The following is a 20768-nucleotide window of genomic DNA, read 5'->3' on the forward strand; positions in this document are numbered from 1 at the left end:
TGTATTGGAGAGCATAGATATAGAACACTACCATCATTGCAGAAAGTTGTATTTGTAATGCTCTAGACATTCAAATGTTGCCAGTTGTCCCATTAATGTCTTTTGTAGTAAGTAAAAGATGATTTTTTTCCTGTTTCAGGAATGATTGCGCAATCAAGTGACATTTAGATTTCATGTCTTTTTAGTATTGTTTAATCTGGAATTGTTTACAGAATTAATTTATCTTTCAGGTCCTTAACATTTTTCAAGAGTTACAGGCCTGTTATTTTATGAAATGTGCCTTATTTGGAGTTTGGTGTTTCCTTCAGATTAGTATCAGATATTGGATATTCAGGAACAATACTACAGAAATGCATTTGTGTCTTTTTCAGTGAATCATATTTGAAGGCCCATTGTATCAATTTTTCTTGTTACTGGTAATGTTAACATTGATTTATCAGGTTCATTGATCTATTTCCATTGTAAAGTTGGAGAAGCTTTTTTTATTTTAAAAAAGTTCATTTACCAATTTTAACAATTGAGAAAAAAGTCTGACTATAATACTTGATGACATAGACATCATGTTTAAGTAGAAAACACAAGAATAAAAAAAGCAATTATCACAGATAATATTTCACAACTTCAGTTGTTTCCTTCAAATTTGCTTTATGTAATTGGGTGGATATAAATTAATAAACAGAAATTTAAGCAAGATACATGTAACAATTTAACACAACTTGATACTCTAATTTCTTTCAATTTTTCTCAAATTCATCTTTAAGTCTTTCCATCATGGGGCTCATAAGGAAATTTAACCAACATATGGATACTATAGTTGAATGTCAAATCTTTACAAAGTACTTAAGAGATACTAAATTCCTCTATATTGCAATTATGAAGAAGCTTCATGACACTGTGTTTTGCATGTAGAAAAATGTTAGAGTCCAATATGCAGCTCAACATAAAATAATAAGAAACATTTCTGATTTCTTTGTTAGGTTGAGACCACTTTTCCTTTTCCTAATGAATGATTTTTCTTTACTGTTATGTCACTGAAGTGAAAAAGTAGGTCACCTAGGAGTATATACGAAAAAATAAATACATTAAATGGATAAAACATTACTACTATGTCTTTACCTCTAACACTTCAGAAGCCTAGAGATTTAAAGTATTCTTACATTAAATGGAAGAAAAAATGGAGAAATTCCTTCTTTTTTGAGATCACAACTATGAAGTCATGTGGTTATACAAATTCTGCATTTGTGTGCAAAATGTGAAACACACTTTTTGCTTCTACTTGCTTCATTTTGTCAGTTAGCTAGCAGGACTTAATAGATACCTTTCCAAGAAACAGGGACTGAGATGTGTTTTATGTAACTTCAGTAACCTCAGCATTACAGTAATGAGGGATGCAGTATCTTTTTGCTATGGTTCAAGACAAGAGGGAAGGAGGTCACAGGAAACAGAATAAATCAAAATTGTTACAGCTGAGTAACTATTTCTCATGAGGTCTCACCGTGGTGCCACCTTCATTTTTCATAAACATGGTGGCATAATTCAATCTCAATAAATCAGAATTCTTAATATTTAAAATTTACCTTGATTTTCAATTATCACCATATTAACAACCAAAATAATTAGATAAAACACACAGGAAAGTGTAATATTAAACCCCACTGTAATAGAGTTGGTTTATTGACACTTTTTTTTTTTAATAGAAAAGGGATAGTACATCTCAGTTTGCTTACAAGCTAGGATATCACTTTGAATTCTGCATTTCCTGACTGCAAACAGAATATAGCACTTATAACAGATTATAAATAAACTGGTTTTCAAGCATAGAACTAGCCCAATGATAATAATACACTATTTAAAAGGACCTAAGGCAATGAATTCCATTTCTAATGGAAAAAAATAACTGTGCAAACAAGCTTTAAACTACTTTTTTTGTGTGTGCCAGTGTTATAAAATGCAGCTTTTAATAAAACCTTGACCCAAATGCCAGTAACATCAGAAAAGAATTTGGGGATGGGGAGGGGGAAGAGAAGAAAGTTATTTCATTTAGGAAAATAACTACTATCTTTTGCTTATCTTCAGTACATACAATTTAAACAAATACAGCTGCTGTAACACTTTACACAATTCCTATGTACTGGAGCAATAACAAGGTCTAAATACAGTTATATTTTTGAACATTGGGTCAAGGCCTTACATAAAAATACCATCCTACTTTTCTCTCTAAGTTTTGAAATATCATGTACTTTCCCCCAACATCTGCAGCCATCCAGGAATTTTTAGGAAACTTTTGTGCATGATCTTAATTCCTAATCCCTGGTTCTTTGGGCTTAGTGACAACAGATCAAAACCCCCCAACATGATGGTTCACTTGAAGTCAGATGAGACACCCTGGCTCAATAGTCTAGGTTGAAAGCAGTGCTGCATCAACTGGCTCCATGGAGGAGGGGCACGTGAAGGATCTCATCTACCAGTCATAATACAGTCCAGGTGGTAGATGTACATGCACGGTAGAAATTGAATTGGGGCTGGGCGCGGTGGCTTCACGCCTGTAATCCCAGCACTTTGGGAGGCCGAGATGGGCGAATCACGAGGTCAAGAAATCGAGACCATCCTGGCCAACATAGTGAAACCCCGTCTCTACTAAAAATACAAAAATTAGCTGGCGTGGTGGCGCGCCCCTGTAGTCCCAGCTACTCCGGAGGCTGAGGCAGGAGAATTGCTTGAACCTGGGAGGCAGAGGTTGCAGTCAGCCAAGATCGCGCCACTGCACTCCAGCCTGGGTGACAAGAAGGAAACTCCCTCTCAAAAAAAAAAAAAAAGAAATTGAATTGGGTCCCCATAAACAAAGTCCATCATACAGATCACACACTCCCAGATCTGTTTTACTGATCCATCTCTTCCAGGGTCATAAACTCCTTTAGGCAGATGTTGTATAAGGCCTATTCTTTGAGCTATCCTAATTTGTTAGGATAGGTGTTTGCTAGGTGTTGGATGGTAGACTGGAGCTGGAACCTGTTCCTGATATGGCAGCGGCTCCTGATACGGCTTAGTTCCCTCGCTAAAGCTAGCCCAGTCGGACTGAGACTCCTGAAGCAGGGAGATGTCATCCGAGGTGGGGGATTTGAGGCAGTTCCCCATCTTCTGGGGCCAAGGGGTGGGTGTGTGATCTGTGCACTGACAGTCTTCTCTATTTTCTACCTTGAAATTAATAAGTATGTGGGATACTTTGAGACTATGTAAATATATTGTTGCTCATACTTTCCTCCACTAGTTTTAGCATCTACTGATGATGACTCTTACTTGAAACAGTTATGGTGGTTTGTGAAATGGTGGTTTTTTTTCTTTTTAAATTTTATTTTGAATTAATTTACATTTACAAAAATTGTAAAAATAGTACACCCTTCACCCCAAATGTTAACATCTTACACAATCATAATATAATAATTGTACTGTGTATAGAAAACAGGAAATTAACTTTGATGCAATATTGTTATTATTATTATTTTGAAGACAGAGTCGCACTCTGTCACCCATGCTGGAGTGCAGTGGTGCGATCATAGCTCATATTAACCTCAAACTCCCAGGCTCAAACAGTCCTCCTGTGTCAGTCTCTCTAGTAGCTAGGACTACAGGTACACATCACCACACCTGGCTAATTAAAAATTTTTTTGTGTGTGGTGACAGGGTCTCGCTATGTTCCCCAGGCTGGTCTCGAACTCCTGTCCTCAAGTGATCCTCCTGCCTCAGCCTCCCTCCTCAAGCAAACTCTTGTCCTCAAGTGATCCTCCTGCCTCAGCCCCAAATGTGCACAATCGTGGCTCACTGCAGCCTTGACTTTTGGGCTCAGGTGATTCTCCCACCTCAGCCTCCCAAGTAGCTGAAACTATAGGCACGCACCACCATGCTCAGCTAATTTTTTGTAATTTTTTGGGGAGAGATGGGGTTTCACCATGTTGTCTAGGCTGGTCTCGAACTCATGAGCTCAAGTGATCTACCCACCTTGTCCTCTTAAAATGCTGGGATTTACAGGCATGAGCCCCAGCCCGATACAATATTATTAACTGATTTACAGTCCTTATTTAAATTTTGCCAATTTCCCAACTAATGTCCTTCAAAGCAAAAGAAAAAAGTTCTAAATTTTGCCAGACACCTCACTGTTCTTACTTTGGTCCAGAATCCCTCATCGTGTTTAGTTGTCATGGCTTTCTTATGTGATGAGCAGAGATTAACAGATGATCATCTTTATCCATGTGACCAACAAGACCAAAAAGGGATAATTCCTCAGTCTTTCTTTTTATGACAAATGGTCGTTAAAAAGTGAGGTCAGGAGTTCGAGACCAGCCTGGCCAACATAGTGAAATCCCGTCTCCACTAAAAATACAAAAATTAGCTGGATGTGGTGGCACGCACCTGTAGTCCCAGCTACTCGGGAGGCTGAGGCAGGATAATTGCTTCAACCTGGGAGGTGGAGGTTGCAGTGAGCCGAGATCGCACCATTGCACTCCAGCCTGGGCGACTGAGCGAGACTCCAACTCAAAAAAAAAAAAAAAAAAGTCATTCTATTCATGATAAATGCTGATTCTCCCCCCACCACCACACATGCACACCACTTCTAATATATATACCACATTTATTAGTTGGAATTCTATTTTGGGGAAGAATTATCCCTTCTCCTTTATTTACTACTATTGGTAGGAACTCGTGCACCTTTAGTCCCAGCCACTCAGGAGGCTGAGGCAGAAGGATTGCTTGAACCTGGGGACGTCGAGGCTGCAGTGAGTCAGGATAGTGCCACTATACTCCAGCCTGTGCAACAGAGTGATACCCTCTCTTTCAAAAAAAAAAAAAAAAGAATCCATTACTATCATTAGTTATTTTGATGCTACATTATCCTAGATTTGACCAGTGAGAGCCTTTCCAGCAGGTTTTTATTGACTGAATATGTCTCCTGGTAAAAATGGGATTGTTTTACATTATTGGTAACATTTAATTAAAAGCCACATGGAATATGGCTTTCTCTATCAACTGAGTATCTTAAAGATACTTAAAATATTTGTATCATTGTTAGGGTCCGAAAAAGCAAAGATTACTGATCATATATTGCCGGTAGCTCATATCTAGATTATCCTATGTCTCATGCCCATCACTGAGAACATTATGTCATCACCAGCATCACTTTATTAATGTTTAATTTGGGCAGATACTCAGTATCTTCAGTTTTCAGATTTGAGAAAAAACTTATATAATCAGCATTTAGTTATTAATATTTTCTTGCTTGTTAAGTGCCTTTACTAATGCCAGTGCTTGTGAAACTAGGTTAACACTATATTTGGGTTGAAACTGATAGTTTACTCATGTAACAGAAGTATCTCTCATAAAGACTTCTACTCCTTTTGGGAGGGAGATGTGAGAGTGGGGGCAGAAACAGTGTCTTAGAAAATCAAAACCGTGTACCTAGTGTCTAGCATTATGTTTGTCACACTTAATACTCAGTAAATATTTGTTGAATAAATGAATAATACCCAAGGAAGGGCCCACCTTCCCATTTCTTTTATTTTCAATTCTTTTAGATGATTTTTAAACAGTCATTTTTCATATGTGGGCCATTTTTGTTTGTCACATTTTACTGCCTAAATATCTAAAATTATCAAAGCCTTTCCAAATTGTCTTCTGTGGAAAAATATGTGGGTTGAAATTTTCAAAAAGGGGTAGAGATTTCATCTACAAAAATTAAATTGCTTTCTTTTTTGGACTTAGCTCACAGAGCCTTTAATATGTTAACTACATACCATGAATCTCTTAGAGATGGGAGAATACCCAACATTTTTGAAATTTATTAATGATAATAACCTATTTTTCTCAGTTTCTAAGAGACTATAGGAAATGCTTATCTGATTTTTTAAAAACCTGCTTAACTCTCTTTAGGCTTATTTCTTTGTTAATATTTGATATTATTTTGTCACTTTTGGACTACTTGATATGCCCCAAATGAATTTTCTTTCTCACTAACCTGGACAGCCTTTTCTCAGCTAAATATGGCATGTCCTAAGAAGTCCATTGATTGCCCAAAAAGCTGATCCCATGGATTAGAAATAGCCTTAAGAAGATTACTCATCTAAACATTTGCCACACATTTATCAGAGAAATTTAATGCAATTTTTCTAAGTCATCTAAACTCTTTGTAAGCCATTCTGTACACCTTGGTAGGAGATGTTTCATATTTGTAGAAATTTCAAATATTCAAAGAATGTTGAGTCAGTCTCTCAATTGGCAAAATTATACAGAGTAAGAAAAATGTCCATAGAAATAGAACCAAGAGAAGTCTATATAAATAGTAGTGTGAAGAAGAGTGAATTCCTTTGTAGCTGTAACATCACATTTTTTGCATGTTGCACACATTGTTTAGCCATTTCTGAACACATTTCCATTTACGTCATTTGTAAAAACTGCCTAGCCTCATATTCTGGAAAACTGACAAAATTTGTAATGAACAGATGCAGATTCCATAATTGTAATTGGCCTTTATTCTAAACTAATTTTTGGTTCATGCATTGTTAATGATTTCTATTTTTCTCCATTTTTACCTTAAAATTGGAAAGAGTATATTTTAGAGGGAAACATTTTTTGTTGACTTTTAAAAATCAAGACTTACTACATTATGACCTGTAGGTTCTCCAATTACCTATATTTAAATCTAGAATTTTAAGGGTGCCCTTTTAATATTTCCTGTTATACTTAGTTTTACATAATCTTTTAAATTTTTCTTTTATAATTCCCAGATAAACACATCAGTTTTAAATGAAACCCCTTTTTAATTTTTTTCTATAATTAATACTATCTTGTTTTTAAATAATATATAGATCATTTAGAATATAAAAGATTATAAAGAATTTATTTTATCTATTTTATGTTTTTACAATTCAAGTCTTTCTTAAAGTGAATAATAAATATTAGTAGAGCCTCAAACAGAAAGAAAAAGATATATTCTCATATTGTTTTATTATTGTATGATTTTCTAACAATGCCATTTAAAAGACTGACTTTCCAAAGCAGGACTAATTCAGGTGAATCTCTGATTGTCTTAAAGGGACTATATGATCTGGCTGCAAGCATAATGCATGTAGCGTTTTTAAATAAGATGAGATAAACCTGAAAATTTCTGATCTTTGAACAGCTCCTATGACAGCTTCTGACTAGTGCCAAATTTTGTCAAATGAATGGGGAACATGATATTTATTAATGAAGGAATGGGTTTTTAAAATAATTTTTTTTAGTGTTTATACATCCTTTTTATTAAAGTATGAAATACAGAGCAAGTGTTTTGGCATATTGTTGCTTGTTATAAGGAAGATTTAATAGCTTGTTTTGGACTATTAATATGAAGAGAAGTCATTTGGAGTTCAGACATATATTTAGAACTAGCACGTGTGCAAAAAGATACAAAGTGAATCAAGAAATTCTGGAAAAGATAGTTTGAAGAAAAGAAGTTGCTATTTTCAAGCTAACATTGGTAAAGTAAATATCGAAAAGATAATTAAATATTTTCTTCATTTTGAATATTTTATTAAGGATCCCAAATAGAAACTTAGAATTGACAGAATTAAATCAGTGAAAGTATGAAACTCGTTTTCTAAAATAATAGGTACATAAATATAATTTTCAAATGGAGTCTAGGAAACCCAAAATGCTTACTGCAGTTAGGTATAGGAGATGATTACAAACTTAACAGCTGTCTGAGTTTAGTAACACAAAGCTATTTGTTACTGCTTGTAGCAAATTTAGTTATGTTATATAAATTAGTTTTCTCTGATTTTGAAAATGTCTTTATCATGATTTTTGCATGAAGAGAAAATCTTCACATTTCACATACTTTTTCAGCAAATATTAATAGGAATTCAATGACTTGTTCTTTAACTTTTAATTTGTTGATCAAAAGATGTGTATAATATTAAAAAATACATGCCAAGTAGGTTTGCTTCATGAATTTTACAGCATATAATAAATGAAAACCCTGGTGACCTTTTGGCCTTGTTGGTCACATGCATGAAGATGATTATCTGTTAATCTCTGCTAATCACTAGTACATCCTTTTACAGAAGACAGAACAGTTTTTGGTTGTGTTTCATTTGCTCTTTTGAAAAGTGCTTTAACAAGAAACTTTAGGAAATCATTTAATATTGTAAGATTATAAAATAATGGATATTTTCTATCTAAAGATGGTAAATTTAAAATGAGAATTAGAATTCTATACAGGAGTAATATTGAAAAAAAATTCAACATGTATATGTCTCCATATTTTATTTGGGTATTTTTATGGGTTTGTTTTAGATGCCAATAATAGTTTTTTGAATGTCATAGACTTGAATGACTCTGTTAGACTTGTTGATACACACACACACACACACACACACACGGCTATCTCTCACACACTTTCACATATGCAGTGCATTATTGTTATAACTGTAAAATTTTAAAAACTGTCAGAGAAAAACAGTGCCTCTCATACTTTGATATATGTATGATTTACCTAGGACCTTGTTAAAATCTAGATTCTAAGTCAATAGTTCTAGGGTAGGTTTTGAGAGTCTGGAATTATAGCAAGTTCCCAAATCATGACTATTCTGCTACTCCAGGGTCAGAAAACTTTTTCTATTAAGGATCAGGTAGTAATATTTTAATATTTTAGGCTTTGCAGGACAAGAAGCAAAATCAAGGATATTCTGTAGGATATTTCCTACATTATAGGATAAAGAAACAAATGTCCACAAATTTTTTTATTGATGAAATCCAAGAAATAATTGAGAAATTTTTCATGGTATAGCTGTATACACTACTTAATAAAAAGGAATGATCTGATACACACAACAACAGAATGAATCTCAAAAACATTATGCTGAGTGAAAGAGACCTTACACAGAAACTACATACTATGTGATTCCATTTATATGAAGCTCTAGAAAATACAAACTGGGCCACGCACAATGCCTAATGCCTGTAATCCCAGCACTTTGGGAGGCTGAGGAGGAAGAATCACTTGAGGCCCAGAGTTCAAGACCAGCCTGGGCAACATAGCGAGACCCCTGTCCCTGTCAGTGCACAGAAAATAAAAAAATGTATGTGGGCATAATGGTGCATGCCTGTAGTCCCAGTTACTTGGGAGGCTGAGGCAGGGGTATGGTGTGAGCCCAGGAGATTGAGGTTACAGTGAGCTATGATCATGCGACTGTACTCCAGCCTAAGTGGCAGAGCAAGACCCCCTGTCTCTTCAAAAGAAAAGGAAGAAAGAAAATACAAACTAAAAAACAATAACAGAAAGCTGATGATGGTTATATGGAGACAGGAGTGAAGGGATGGACTGACTACAAAGGAACCTGAAGGAACTGTTTGGATGATGGAAATGTTCTGTATGCTGGTTGTGGTAGTGGTTATGCAGGTGTATATGTCCTTCAGAACTTATTGAACTTGGGAAAGCCAGCTGACATGTTGTGAGGACACTCAAGCAGCCCTGTGGAGAGATTTTATGTTCCAAAATGGTGTAGAAGCAAGTTGGCTTCACTCCCCTTCACAGAAAACCACAAACAAGAGAGCACCGAGATCATCACCAGCAATATCCCAGCACTCAAATATTAAGATAAAACAGTTTGTAGAATCACAGGGAAATCAAGAACAAAATCTTTGAGCAAAACTCTATAGGAAAAAAATCTAATAATCCAATTGAAAAATTGGCAGAAGATTTGAATAGAATCTGAAAAGAAGACATACAAATGGCAAACCGATATATGAAAAGGTGCTCAACATCCTTGACCATCAGAGAAATGCAAATCAAAACAACGAGATATCATCTCATGCCAGTTAAAATGGCTTATATACAAAAGGTGGGCAATAACAAATGCTGGCAAGGATATGAAGAAAAGGGAACCCTCATACACTGTTGATGGGAATGTAAATTAATATAACCACTGTGGAAAGCAGTTTGGAGTTTCCTCAAAAAACTAAAAATAAAGCTACCATATGACTCAGCAATTCCACTGCTCTCTGTATACCCAAAAGAAAGGAAATTGGCATACTGAAGAGATACCTGCATTCCCATGTTTGTTGCAGCTCTGTTCATAATAGCCAAGATTTAGAAGGAACCTAAGTGTTTATCAACAGATAAATGGATAAAGAAAATGTGGTACTTAGGCCAGGTGCGGTGGCTCATGCCTATAATCCCAGGACTTTGGGAGGCTGAGGCGTGTGGATTGCCTGAGCTAAGGAGTTCGAGACCAGCCTGGGCAACATGGTGAACCCCGTCTCTACTAAAGTACAAAAAAATTAGCTGGACATGGCGGCATGTGCCTATAATCCCAGCTACTTGGGAGGCTGAGGCAGGAGAATAGCTTGAACCCAGGAAGTAGAGGTTGCTGTGAGCCGAGATCATGCCACTGCACTCCAGCCTGGGTGACAGAACGAGACTCCATCTCCAAAAAAAAAAAAAAAAGAAAGAAAATGTGGTACTTATACTATGGTGTACTATTCAGCCATGAAAAAGAATGAGATTCAGTCATTTTCAACAACATGGATGGAACTGGAGGTCATTATGGTAAGTGAAATAAGCCAGGCACAGAAAGACAAACATCGCATGTTCTCACTTACTTGTGGGATCTAAAAATCAAAACAAATTAAATCATGGAGATAAAGAGTAGAAGGATGGTTACCAGAGGCTAGGAAGGGTGGTGGGGATGGTTAATGGTTACAAAAAAATATTTAGAATGAATGAATAAGACCTAGTATTTGCTAGCAAAATGGTGACTATAGTCAATAATAATTTAATTGTACATTTAAAAATAACTAAAAGAGTATAATTGGACTGTTTATAACACAAAGGATAAATGCTTGGGGGAATGGATACCCCATCTTCCATGATGTAATTATTACACATTGCATGCCTGTATCAAAACATCTCGTGTACCCCATAAATACATATATCTACCCACAAAAATTAAAAATATTAAAAAATTTGAGTAGATAGTAATAGAATTGGACTTCCATATCTTCAGTGCCCTTCCCCACAATCGGTCCAGCACCAGGCATGTGGAACATTTCTCCTCCTGACTCATGGTTTCTACACTGGAAAAAGTGAGGTTGAGATGGATAACCAGCTTCCCCACCGTCTTGGGTTCCTGACAGGAGACCTGTCCCTGCTTCAACCCACAGGAAGCATTGGGAGTGTGTGAAGGAAGAAATATTCCTGAGGACAGCCAGAGACAAAGCAGGGAGGTGGGACTATCATCCCCAGCCATGGAAACTCTGCTCTGTTACTCCACCAAAGGAGATGCCAAATCAATCAGTGTGGCCTTTCAGTGGCACCATGCTGTAGGAGGTTTGTTCCATCGTTCCCGTGGGCAAAAACCCCTAGCCAGACTTTCTACACGTTACTGGAATATCTCCTGCAGGACCTTCCCAATTTGGGATGGGGAACACTCTGATTGTTTACTAGAAATGAGGCAAATCTGTGCTTAAGGTACCATTTAGTGCCAAAAAAGAGTCTACAACCTAGCAGTGGAAAAAAAAAGTAAATTGCAAAGAATCTCTAAGTAAAGGTATCTAATAAAAACCAAAACATGCCAGACAGAGAACACTGGCATAAATAACCTTCCATCCAAAGACGCAGACATACAGGAAGCAACAACAGAGAACCTCCTCTAATGGATAAGGCAAGGAACCAGTGACTGACTTTAACAAGATGGTGATGTGTGAACTCTATGACTAATCATTCAAAATACAGTTTTAAAAAAACTCAGTGATCTTCAAGATAATACAGAAAAGCAATTCAGAAACTTATGAGATAATTTAACAGAGAGATTGAAATAATTTTAAAAAATCAAATATTGGAACTGAGAAATATATTAGTTGAACTGCAAAATTCACTAGGAACTCTTAAGAGTAGACTGGATCATTCAGAGGAAAGGATCAGCAAGCTGTAAACAGGCTATTTGAAAATACACAGTCAGTCAGGCATGGGGGCTAACACCTGTGGTACCAGCAATTTGGGAGGCCGAGGCAGGTGGATCAGGCTGGTCAGGAGTTCGAGACCAGCCTGACCAACAAGGCAAAACCCCATCTCTACTAAAAATACAAAAATTGGCCAGGTGCGGTGGCTCACGCCTGTAATCCCAGCACTTTGGGAGGCCGAGGTGGGTGGATCACAAGGTCAGGAGATCGAGACCATCTTGGCTAACATGGTGAAACCCTGTCTCCACTAAAAATACAAAAATTTAGCCTAGTGTGGTGGTGGGCCCCTGTAGTTCCAGCTACTTGGGAGGCTGAGGCAGGAGAATGGCATGAACCCAGGAGGCGGAGTTTGCAGTGAGCCGAGATTGCGCCACTGCACTCTGGCTTGGGCGACAGAGCAAGACTTCATCTCAAAAAAAAAAAAAAAAAATTAGCCAGGCGTGGTGGCAGCTGCCTGTAGTCCCAGCTACTTGGGAGGCTGAGACAGGAGAATGGCGTGAACTCAGGAGGCGGAGCTTGCAGTGAGCTGAGATTGCGCCATTGCACTCCAGCCTGGGCAACGGGGGGGAAAAAAAGAAAAGAAAATACACAGTCAAAGGAGAAAAAAGAACAAAGGAACAAAGATTGCCTACAAGATATAGAAAATTACTTCAAAGACCAGGTTTAAGAATTACTGGTGTTTAAGAGGAAGCTGAGCAAGAGCAAGGGGTAGAAAGCTTTCAAAAAAAAACACTCACAGGAAATTTTCCAAAACTTGAGGAGATAAATATTCAGGTATTGAAAGGCCAGAGGGCTGGGCACAGTGGCTCATGCCTGTAATCCTAGTACTTTGGGAGGCTGAGATGAAACCCCACCTACACTAAAAATACAAAAAATTAGCCAGGCGTGGTGGCGGACACCTATAGGCCCAGATACTTGGGAGGCTGAGGCAGGAGAGTGGCATGAACCTGGGAGGCGGAGCTTGCAGTGAGCCGAGATCGTGCCACTGCACTCCAACCTGGGCGACAGAGCAAGACTCCGTCTCAAAAAAAAAATTATTGAAAGGCCAGAGAATACCAAATTTGTTCCAAATCAGACACCCATGGATATAATAAACCCTCAAAGGTCAAGGATAAATGGAGGATCTTAAAAATAGCAAGAGAAAAGAAGAATATAACACATAAAGGAGGTTTAATTCATTGGGCAATAGACTTCTCAATAGAAATCAGGCCAGGAGGAAGTGTAGTGACATTTTCTAACTGCCATCCAATAATACTGTACCCAGCAAAGTTTTCCTTCAATTATAAAGGAGAGATAAAGCCTTTCCCAGACAAATAAAAGCTGAGTAAATTCACCACCATCAGACTTATTTTACAAGAAATGCTAACTTCAATCTTAAAAAAACCAAGCTAACACGTGAAAAGAAAGCATTGAAAAGTATAAAATCCACTGGTAAAATTAAATACACAGACAAACTTAGGATGTAATTGTGGTGTGAGATCCACTCGTAACTCCAGTATGAAGGCCAAAAGACAAGTGTCTGGAAAACAATAATAGCTACAGCAACCTGTTAAGAGATAAGCAGTATAAAAATATGTAAACTGAGACAACATAAAGTCAAAATGTGGGAGGGTGGCGAGAATTTAAACGTAAAGTTTTTGTTTTGTTTTTAATTTTTGTTTTCACACTTTTCTTTGAGATCCAAAGTAAATATAAAATAAAATAACTTTGAGATCCAAAGTAAATATAAAATAAAATAACTTGTCATATCTATAAGATGTTTTTTGTGAGCCTCACATAACCACAATGCAAAAACCTGTAATAGATTCCCTAAAAATAAAAAGCAATGAATTAAACATACTAACAGAAGGAAAAATCACTTAACCACAGAGGAAGACAGGAAGAAAAGAAGAGAGGAGTTACAAATCAATGAGAAAATCAACAACAAATTGGCAATAGTAAGTCCTTATCAATAATAGCACTGAATATAAATGGACTCAATTTGCCAATTAAAAGTCATAGTGTCTAAATGGATAAAGAAACAAGATGCAACTATATGCTGCCTATGAGAAACCCAGTTCACCTATAAAGATGTACATAGACTGAAAGTGAAGGGATGGAAAAAAAGTATTCCATGAAACTGGAAACCAAAAAAGAGCAGGGGGAGCTAAATTTAGATAAAATAGACTACAAATCAAAGACTGTCAAAAGAGACAAAGAGGGTCACTATAAAATGACAAAGGGATCTGATATAGTTTTGACTCTGCCCAAATCTCATGTTGAATTATAATCTCCCATGCTGGCGGGGAGGCCTAGTGGAAAGGTTTGGATCATGGGTGCAGATCCCTCATGGCTTGGTACTGTTTTCATGCTAGTGAGTTCTTATGAGATCAGGGCATTTAGAAGTGTGTGTCACCTCCCCACTCAACTCTGTTTCTTGCTCCTGTTTCATTACGTGATATGCCTGCTCTCCCTTTGCCTTCTGCCATGATGGTAAGCTTCCCGAGGCTCCCCTAGAAGCCAAGCAGATGCTAGCATTGTGCTTCCTGTAAAGCCTGAAGAACCATCAGCCAATTAAATCTCTTTTCTCTATAAATTACCCAGTCTCAGCTATTTCTTTATAGCAGAACAGCCTAACACAGAAAATTGGTACCAGAAGTGGGGCTTTACTATAAAGGTACCTCAAAATGTGGAAACAACTTCAGAACTAGGTAACAGGTAGAGGTTGGAAGAGTTTGGAGGGCTCAGAAGAAGACAGGAAGATGAGGGAAAGTTTGGAACTTCTTAGACACTGATTAAATTTTTGTCACCAAAATTCTGAAAGTGATATGGACAATGAAGTCCAGGCTGCTAAGATCTCAGATGGAAATGAGGAACTTATTGGGAACTAAGGCAGTCATATGTGTTATGCCTTAGCAAAGAGCTTGACTGCATTCTGTTCATGCCGTAGGAATCTGTGGAAGTTTGGACTTCATAGTGATGATTTAGGGTATCTGGGAGAAGAAATTTCTAAGCAGCAAAAGGTTCAAGATGTGGTCTTACTGCTTCTAACAGCCTATGCTCAGATGTAGGAGCAAAGGAATGACTGAAAGTTGGAACTTATATTTAAAAGGGAAGCTGAGCATAAAAGTTTGAAAAATTTGCATGCTGGCCCTGTGGCAGAGAAAGAAAAAGCTTTTTCAGGAGAGGAATTCAAGCAGGCTGTGGAGCAACCACTTGCCAGTTATTCATGCAGCTAAAAGAGAGCCAAGTGCTAATATCAAAGACAATGAAGAAAAGGCCTCAAAGACATTTCAGAGACCTTCACAGCAGCCCCTCCCATCACAGGCCCAGAGGCCTAGGAGGAAAGAATGGTTTTCTGGGCCAGGACCAGGGCTCTGCTGCTCTGCACAGCCTCAGGACAGTGCTCCCTGCATCCCAGCTACTCTGGCTTCAGCTTTGGTTCAAAGGGCCCCTGGTACAGCTCAGGGTGCTACTTCAGAGTATGCAAGCCATAACCCTTGGCAGCTTCCACATGTTGTTAAGCTTGTAGGCACATAGAGTGCAAGAGTGAATGAGGCTTGGCAACTTCTGCCTAGATTTTAGAGGCTGTATGAGAAACCCTGGGTGTCCCGGCAGAAGCCTGCTTCAGGGGCAGAGCCCTCATAGAGAACCTCTACTACAGCAGTGCCAAGGGGAAATGTGGGGTTGGAGCCCCCACACAGAGTCCCCAATGGGACACTGCCCAGTGATGCTGTGAGAAGGAGGCCATTGTCCTCCAGACCCCAGAATGGTAAATCCACCAGCAGCTTGCACCCTGAACCTGGAAAAGCTGCAGGCACTCAACACCAGCTCTTGAAAGCAGCCATGGGGGCTGAACCCTGCAAAGCCACAGAGGTGGAGCTCCCAAGGCCTTTGGAGCCCACCCCTTGCACCAGTTTGCCTTGGATGTGGGATATGGAGTCACTGGAGATTATTTTGGAGCTTTAAGATTTAATGACTGCCCTGCAGCGTTATGAACTTCCGTGGAGCCTGTAGCTCCTTTCTTTTGGCTGATTTCTCCCTTTTAGAATGGGAATGTTTACTCAGTGCTTATACCTCCGATTGTATCTTGAAAGTAACTAACTTGTTTTTAATTTACAGGCTAATAGGTAGATGGGATTTGCCTTGTCTCAGAAGAGACTTTGGACTTTTGCATTAATGCTGGAATGAATTAAGACTTTAGGGGACTATTGGGAATGCATACAAGGCGGGCTAGTATTTTGCAGTGTGAGACGGACATAAGATTTGGGAGAGGCCGGGGCAGAGTGATATAGTTTAGATATTTGTCCATGCCCAGATCTCACGTTGAATTGTAATCCCCAATGCTGGAGCGGGGGCCTGGTGGTAGGTGTTTGGCTCATAGGGGTGGATCCATGAAGGCCTGGTGCTGTCTTTGTGATAGTGAGCTCTCATGAGATCTAGTCATTTAAAAGTGTTCCTGCTCCTACTCTCTCTCTTGCTTCTGCTTCACCATGTGATGTACCTGTTCCCGTTTGCCTTCCACTATGTTTGTAAGCTTCTTGAGGCCTCCCTAGAAGCTGAACGGATGTCAACACTATGCTTCCTATAAAGCCTACAGAGCTGTGAGCCAATTAAACCTCTTTTCTTTGTAAATTATCCCACCTCGGGTATTTCTTTATAGCAGTGCAAGAACAGCCTAATACAAGATCAATTTAGCAAGAGGATATAATAATATATATGCACCCAACACCAGAGTTCCCAGGTATATAAAGGAAACATTAATAGATCTAAAGAGAAAGATAAATTGCAATACAACAATAATAGGGGACTTTAACACCCCACTATCATTAACGAACAGATCATCCAGATAGAAAATTAACAAACATCAAAGTTAAACTACACACTAGACCAAATTGGCTTAACTGACCTTTACAGGACATTTCACCCAAATGCTGCAGAATACTCATTGTTTTCATCAACACATGGAAAATTCTCCAGAATGGACCATATCTTAGGCCATAAAACAATCTCAACAAATTCAAAAATATTGAAATCATATCAAGTATCTTTTCTGACCACCATGGAATAAAACTAGAAATCAGTAAAAAAATGAATGTTAGAAAGTATGAAAACACATGGAAATTAAACAATATGCTCCTAAATGACCAAATGGTCAATGAAGAAATTAAGGAAATTAAAAAATTTCTTGAAATAAATGAAAATGGAAACATAACATACCAAAATCTATGGGATACGGCAAAAGTAGTACTAAGAGGGAAGTTTATAACAATAAGATCCTATATCAAAAATGTAGAAAGACTTCAAATCAACAAACCAACAATGCACCTCATGGAACTAGAAAAGCAAGAACAAACTAAACTCAGAACTAGTAGAAAGAAAGAAATAATAGAGATCAGAGCAGAAATAAATGTAACTGAGACCAAAACAAAACAAAACAGTTCAGAAGCAGCCTTATGGAGAGGTCTATGTGGCTAGAAACTAAAGGCCAATAGCCAGCAGAGAATTGGTGCCTTCTGCCAAGAGCCAGGTGAGTGAGCCATCTTAGATGCAAACCCCACTGCCTCATTCAAGCCTTCAGATGACTTTAGACCCTGGCTGACAGCTTAATTACAACTTCATAAGAAACTTGAAGCCAGAGTCACCCAACTAAGTCATTCCTGAATTCCTATTCACAAAAACTGATTATAAAGCCAAAGACTAAAAAACTCTTCAAACTATTTGCTTTAAATGGATGTACTTTAGTTTCTTGTTTTAAAATTATACCTCAATAGAATGAATTTTTTAAAAGCTTGATTGAGACCATGAGTGAAGAAAATATGTGAAATTACATTGTAAATTATAGATTGGCATTCAAATATGTTATTATCATTGTTTTAAGTACTTCCAGGGGTCCTTTATGTTATGTTATAGTTATGGCAACTAATAATCTGCACCTCTTTCATCAGGAGACTATTTATTCTGAAGTTATACCTACCTGGCCAGTGTACATTTAAGTTAATATTAAGTAGTCATTGCTCTACATATATGTCTGGACTAATTTCTCCAGTAGAAGAGTGGGGACTTCTGAACTGTTTGCTTGAGAACTCAGGGTTTAAACATACTATAGTTGCTACTTGACACTTTCAAAAATGGAGATAAATGAAGAAAGTATGATGGTATAATGTAACAAGTTTTGGACTTTATATCAAGGAAGCTAGGGTTCAGTCTCCACTCCAGCACAAATTCACAAAACTATCATGGAGAAATTACTCAAACTTCCCAGGATACTTTATAAATTTCTTCCTTTATAAAAGTGAAGTTATTAGACTAGGTGGTCTTAACTTCAGAATCCTTGATTGTATGAATTAGAACCCTAAAGGATTAGGGGATTATAATATATAGCGTAAAATAGCATAAATACAGCGTTAAAAGATACTTTTGTTTCTGATCTTATATGAATCTATCTCTTAGGTACTATGAAACTTCAAAGATAGAAGTTTAAAGCTGGGAGCAGGCTCATGCCTATAATCCCAATGGCTTGGGTGGCTGAGGTGGGAGGATTACTTGAGGCCAGAAGTTCAATATGAGCCTGAGCAACATAGGCCCTGCCTCTAGAAATTTTTTTCTTAAAGTTTAGTGCTTTCCTATGACCCTAGTTTTAAAAACAAGTATATTTAAGAGTTTAACGACCTGAAAGTAGCATTGGAACATTGTAGTACCAAAAAAAGAAAAATAATATGATTTTTAGACACTTGAACTTCCTGTTTCTCCTTTTAGCCATTAAAACATTTTTAGTCCCCAAATTCTGAAATTATCTGAAGTTATCTCTTAGATTACTAGATTTTTAGTCACAGTAAATAGGTACATGTGTCATAGGAATATATTTCTTTCTTAAATCTTCAAATAAAGATTTTAAAACAAATGTTTTTATACTTTTTCAAATGCTTTTATTCTTTGGTTTTGCATTTCATACCAGAAAGCTAGCTTTCCCTGATATATAGTTACATAAGAGTAGTAATCAGTGATCAGTACACATAAAAATTATTTTAAAATTTAGCTCATTATTTTCAAATTGTGCTTTCCTACACTGACATTAGCCTATGCTTAGTGCAGCTTTGGGATCATTTAGACCTAGATTCAAATCTCAGCTTTGTCACTTATCGGCCATATATAAGTTGTTCAAACTTTCTAAGCCTCAGTTTCATTTCTTTCTTTTTTCAAAATGGAGTGAAAATATCTGTCTTATGAAATTGTTCATTAAGGATTAAGTGAGCAAACACAAAAGTGCCTAGCACTGATAAATTTTTCTTTTATTCCTAAAAGTTAGCAAATTTAACAGTGCACTATTAGACCCAACAATTGGGTTTTCGTTTTAGCCCATATGAAGAACTAGTAACAGAAAGAAGATCAGTTTGCTCTCTTAATTTCCATCCTATTCCATTTGCACATAAAAGAATGGAAATAACCCACCCATTTCTTTGGCTTGATATATGGCTATTTTATATTTTTTCACATCGTTGGCACTGAATAGTTTTCATACATGGATTATTAGGTAGTCAAATCATTTTTATAAGTATACAATTTTAAACTATTTCACTAGTGCTTAAATTATTTCCATTTATTCTAGCACTAGTAACTAAATTTATAAAATATTTAATGAAAAGGCAATAATGACACTTTGTCACCAGAAAGATGCAGGTTTGAATCCCAATACTGGATGTGATCTTGGGCTAGCTGCATAATCTCTAAGCTTAAATTTCCTCGGCAATTAAATGATGATAATAATTATTTAGCATGGTACATGGAACATAAACACTCAAAAAAAGTTGTATATCATCATCATTATTAAGTGATAATAATATATTTAACCCTATATGGATTATGTATGGATTAACCTTATATGGGTTAAATCTGTAACCCATATAGATTACTCTTGGTGATTTCTAATTCTAACCACTCTAGCTGACTTTTAGTGATTTCCGATTCTAACCAGAGTTTTCAAATCTATGTGAAGAATAAACCTATTATTCAAAAGCACATACTTTGTTGATGGCAGACCAATAATATTATCTTTTTGTTACATGGAAATTTGAAGCAATAGGTTTATGTTACTAAGATTCTTGACAAACAGCTTTACCAAATTCATCATCAGTGTTGGGCTATGCCAGTCTAACTTGGTGGAAAATTTGAATCATGAAATATTTAACGTATAATAAGTACATTTGTTTACCTCCTGTGAGACTTATCACAGCGGTAAGTACATTGTAGGCAGTGTACTAATTACTTTATTAATGTTGACTTAATTTCTATATGTTGGGAGAATTAAAAATGTATAGCATTCTTCATGTACTAGCAAATGGTATTCTGAAAGTTAATAAGAAAGAAATTAATTCATTTTAACTTCTTAGAGGGTCAAAAAATTAATTCACAAATATTAAAAATCATTTTTACCAAGCCTTGTTACAGATTCTGAAAATGAGATTCAGATGAGAAGAATAATTTTCTTTGTCTCTGTTTAGCTTAGAGGACATATGCCTGTTTTTTTTGCATTTAATTTTTACACTTAGCTTTTTAAAAAATAGTTTTTTCCTTAGTACAGTAACGTGTACCTCCCTGAAAAACTTCAGGCAATTTGGAGAACAAAATAAAAATTACCCACAGTTTTGCTCCCCTGCATTACCCACTGTGAACATTTCAGTCTGTCTCTTCTAGGCTCTATTTTTTAACAATGTATGTACATCCACCCCCATAAACATGGTAGGACCATGTCTGTCTATGTTACTACATTAAACTTATAGCGCCACTTTATCAATTGC

At 36.9% G+C, this 20768-nt stretch overlaps 1 protein-coding gene and 1 pseudogene across 2 annotated transcripts in view; one reads left to right on the forward strand and one right to left on the reverse strand.

Annotated features, from left to right (window-relative positions):
• The window catches only part of AKAP19 (A-kinase anchoring protein 19), a 323923-nt gene that overhangs the window by 48314 nt on the left and 254841 nt on the right, over positions 1-20768 (forward strand). The gene's annotated exons all lie outside the window — the stretch shown is intronic.
• On the reverse strand, positions 486-3167 carry RNF11P1 (ring finger protein 11 pseudogene 1; annotated as a pseudogene).

The sequence above is a fragment of the Homo sapiens genome, chromosome 2, assembly GCF_000001405.40.
Source record: "Homo sapiens chromosome 2, GRCh38.p14 Primary Assembly".
Classification (NCBI taxonomy): domain Eukaryota; kingdom Metazoa; phylum Chordata; class Mammalia; order Primates; family Hominidae; genus Homo; species Homo sapiens.